Source organism: Homo sapiens, chromosome 11 (assembly GCF_000001405.40).
Source record: "Homo sapiens chromosome 11, GRCh38.p14 Primary Assembly".
Lineage (NCBI taxonomy): Eukaryota > Metazoa > Chordata > Mammalia > Primates > Hominidae > Homo > Homo sapiens.
Window position 1 is genome coordinate 56,660,712 of NC_000011.10, and position 3,907 is coordinate 56,664,618.

At 37.3% G+C, this 3,907-nt stretch overlaps 1 protein-coding gene across 1 annotated transcript; it reads left to right on the forward strand.

Moving 5' to 3' along the window:
* Window positions 2,975-3,907, forward strand: OR5AR1 (olfactory receptor family 5 subfamily AR member 1). The gene has a single exon (NM_001004730.1). The coding sequence runs from the start codon at window positions 2,975-2,977 to the stop codon at window positions 3,905-3,907; it is 933 nt and encodes a 310-aa protein (NP_001004730.1).

Consider the following 3,907-nt stretch of genomic DNA (forward strand, 5'->3'; position numbering starts at 1 on the left):
AAAAGAAAAGTGTAGAGGTTTTCTTTCCTTTTGTCTTAGTCAAGCTCAATTTTGAATATTACAACCTTGTCTCTAAATATCATTTAATGGAATTACTACAGAATTAAATTTATGTCTCCCTAAAAGTTCAGGCAGTTCGTGATACATTCTCTCTAAGGAATAAGCATGAAACATTTTTTCTAGAAATTATGAGTGCATGCTCATCTAATAAATTAAAACATCTATACTTGCACACAATTGACAATTGCATTAAGCACCTAACACATGATGTCACTAAATTCAGCCCTTTTTATATATTCTAATCAATTTTTACAGAAAGTTATTAAGGGAGGCATTATTAGTCTCAAGGAACAAATGAAAAATTATGACTCCGAGAAGCTAAGTATTGTGCTGGAAATCAGGAGTAGCAGATGGTAAAACCTGAAATTGTCTGTCCACTATAAATGAGAACAGGCAGGATGCTTTATGGCTGATGAAGCACCTTCTCATACACTGCTTTATTTAACCAGAGCCTCGAATCTACAAGGGAGGAAGGAATTATCTGATAATTACATTTTCCAATCAAATGAAATGGATTGACTGGCACATACCCAGCTGTGGATTAGAGTCCTGATTCCTAGTGCTTCTTACAAGGTTATCTCTTACTCCTTTAAATATTGCAATCTGGTATCTGCATTTTAATTAGTGTCTGAATCTGTTTCCTCATCTATAAAAGTATAAGTATAGGCCAGGCATAGTGGCTCATGCATGTAATCCTAGCACTTTGGGAGGTCAAGGCAGTTGGATCACTTGAGGTCAGGAGTTCGAGACCAGCCTGGCCTACATGGTGAAACCCCATTTCTACTAAAAATAGAAAAATTAGCCAGGCGTGGTGGCGAGCACCTGTAGTCCCAGCTACTCAGGAGGCTGAGGCAGGAGAATTGCTTGAACGCAGGAGGCGGAGGTTGCTGCGGTGAGCTGAGATTGTGCCACTGCACTTCAGCCTGGGAGACACAGCGAAACTCCGTCTTAACAATACATAAATACATGCATACATACATACATAAAGTATAAGTATAAGGTTGGCTAGATAGGTCCTTTTTCAACAATAGGATTATTTTTTCTCTTGCTAAAAGTTGAAGAACATGCTGAAAAATATCAGATCATTTTTCGTTTTTTTTGTGGTTGTTGTTTGTTTTTTTCGTTTTTCCTGGTAGGTTATTTTAAAATTCCTGCATGAAGAAACAAGGGGAAAATGAATACAATGAATACAGCACTACATAGGGAACTGGTAGTCCCAAATTCAATGGCTGATCCTGCAACTCACAGAATCAGCAAGTGACTTTGTCAGTCCCCTCAGCCTAGGTTTTTATTTCCTCATCAATTTAACCTATGAAGAGATGTCTGCATTCACATGTAGTGAGAAATAGCTGAACTGCAGTAGGGACAAATATTCTCTTCTTTTTTTGTAGCAGCTTTATTCAGGTATAACTGACATGCAACAAATTAAATATGTTTGAAATATAAAATGTGATATGTCTTAATATATGTATACACTCACAAAACCGTTATCACCTGCAAAATAGTAAATAAATCCATTACCCCCAAAAGTTTCCTCATGCCTCTTGATACTCCCTCCCCTCTGCTCCACCTCACACATATCTCTATCCAGGTGACTATTGATCTGCCTCCTGTCAATATTAATTATCTTACACTTTCTAGATTTTTACAAATGAAATCATAAAAGTTATCTTTTTTATCTGGCTGTTTTCTCTCAGTCTAATTATTTTGAGATTCATCTAACACATTGCATGTGTCAATAATCTGATTCTTTTAATCATTAATTAGCATTTCATTTTATGGACATACCCCAATTTACTTACCCTGTCACTTATGTACAGTTAGGCTGTTTGCAGGGTTATTTAATGACTGAATCATAGAGTTGGTATGCATATTTTTGAGTTTATAAGAAACTATGAAACAGTTTTCTAAAGTGGTTGTACTACTTTACATTTCTACCAATAACGATAAAATTTCCAATTACTACATTTCCTTGTCAACACTTGGTATAGTCAGTCTTTTAAAATTTTAATCATTAGTGTGTAACATTATTTTATTGTGTTTTTAACTTGTATTCCCCTAATGAATATTTGAGCATTTTTACGCAATTATTTGTGATTCAGTGATCTCCTTTGGTGAGTATCTATTGAAATTTTTGACCAATTCTTATTGGATTGTCTGATTTCTTATTATTAGGTATTAAAATGTCTTTGTATGTTATGGATACAAGTTTTTTAAATCAGAAATATGTCTTTTTTAATTTCTCTTGTGCCACTCAGTAACTCTGGCTTTTTAAAAATTATCATTTACTGTGTTTTCTTATATGTCTGATCTTCTGTTCCAAGTATTTCACTTTCTGTATATGTGTGATGTGTTATACTTTGAGGTCCTCGTGTCACTTATTTTCCTATCTATGTCTACCTGTAATGAAAATTAAAGTTTATTCATTATCTGAATTTATATTTGCTTTCTTTTAGAAAGAAGAAATATCCACACTGTTCTTCTTTACTCATTAATAAGACACACAATTGTGCAGACTGAGTCAAACATCTAGTATCATGTGATAAATGACCCCGGAGCACCAAGGTCATTGAAGAAGCAGAACTTGCCATTCCCAAGAAGTTAACACCTCCTCATGCTGTCAGTGGGCACATGGAGAGGACACATCACCATTTTAACAAAGCATTTGAGTTATTCTATTGGTCATAGAATCTAATTACTGGAAAGATTTTTATGAATCATCCTAAACAAAGCCTTCATTTACTGTAGAACTATATGTATACACATATACACAATAGATAAATATATATATATATATGTATATTGCAATATCTCTGGCATATGATTGCTCGTCTTTAGTTTGAATATTTTCAGTGACAGGGAATTTACTACATCCATCAAAAAACTAAATCCAGGCACACATACACTTGAAGCAATGGATAAAGAAAACAGCTCAATGGTGACTGAGTTTATCTTCATGGGCATCACCCAGGACCCTCAGATGGAGATCATCTTCTTCGTGGTCTTCCTCATAGTTTACCTGGTTAATGTAGTGGGGAATATTGGTATGATTATCCTGATTACAACAGACACTCAGCTTCACACACCCATGTATTTTTTCCTCTGCAACCTCTCCTTTGTTGACCTGGGCTACTCCTCAGCCATTGCCCCCAGGATGCTGGCTGACTTCCTAACAAATCACAAAGTTATCTCCTTCTCCAGCTGTGCCACCCAGTTTGCTTTTTTTGTAGGTTTTGTGGATGCTGAGTGCTATGTCCTGGCAGCCATGGCCTATGGTCGTTTTGTGGCCATTTGTCGACCCCTCCACTATAGCACCTTCATGTCCAAGCAGGTCTGCTTGGCTCTCATGCTGGGCTCTTACCTGGCTGGTCTAGTGAGTTTAGTAGCCCACACTACCCTCACCTTCAGCCTGAGTTACTGTGGTTCCAATATCATCAATCATTTCTTCTGCGAAATCCCACCACTCTTGGCCCTCTCTTGCTCAGACACCTACATCAGTGAGATCTTGCTCTTCAGTCTGTGTGGCTTCATTGAATTCAGCACCATCCTCATCATCTTCATCTCCTATACCTTTATCCTTGTTGCAATCATCAGAATGCGTTCAGCTGAAGGCCGCCTTAAGGCTTTCTCCACCTGCGGGTCTCACCTTACTGGCATCACCCTCTTCTATGGCACAGTCATGTTTATGTACCTGAGGCCAACATCCAGCTACTCCCTGGACCAAGACAAGTGGGCCTCTGTGTTCTACACGGTTATCATCCCCATGTTAAATCCCTTGATCTACAGTTTGCGGAACAAGGATGTGAAAGCTGCTTTCAAAAAGCTAATTGGAAAAAAATCTCAATAA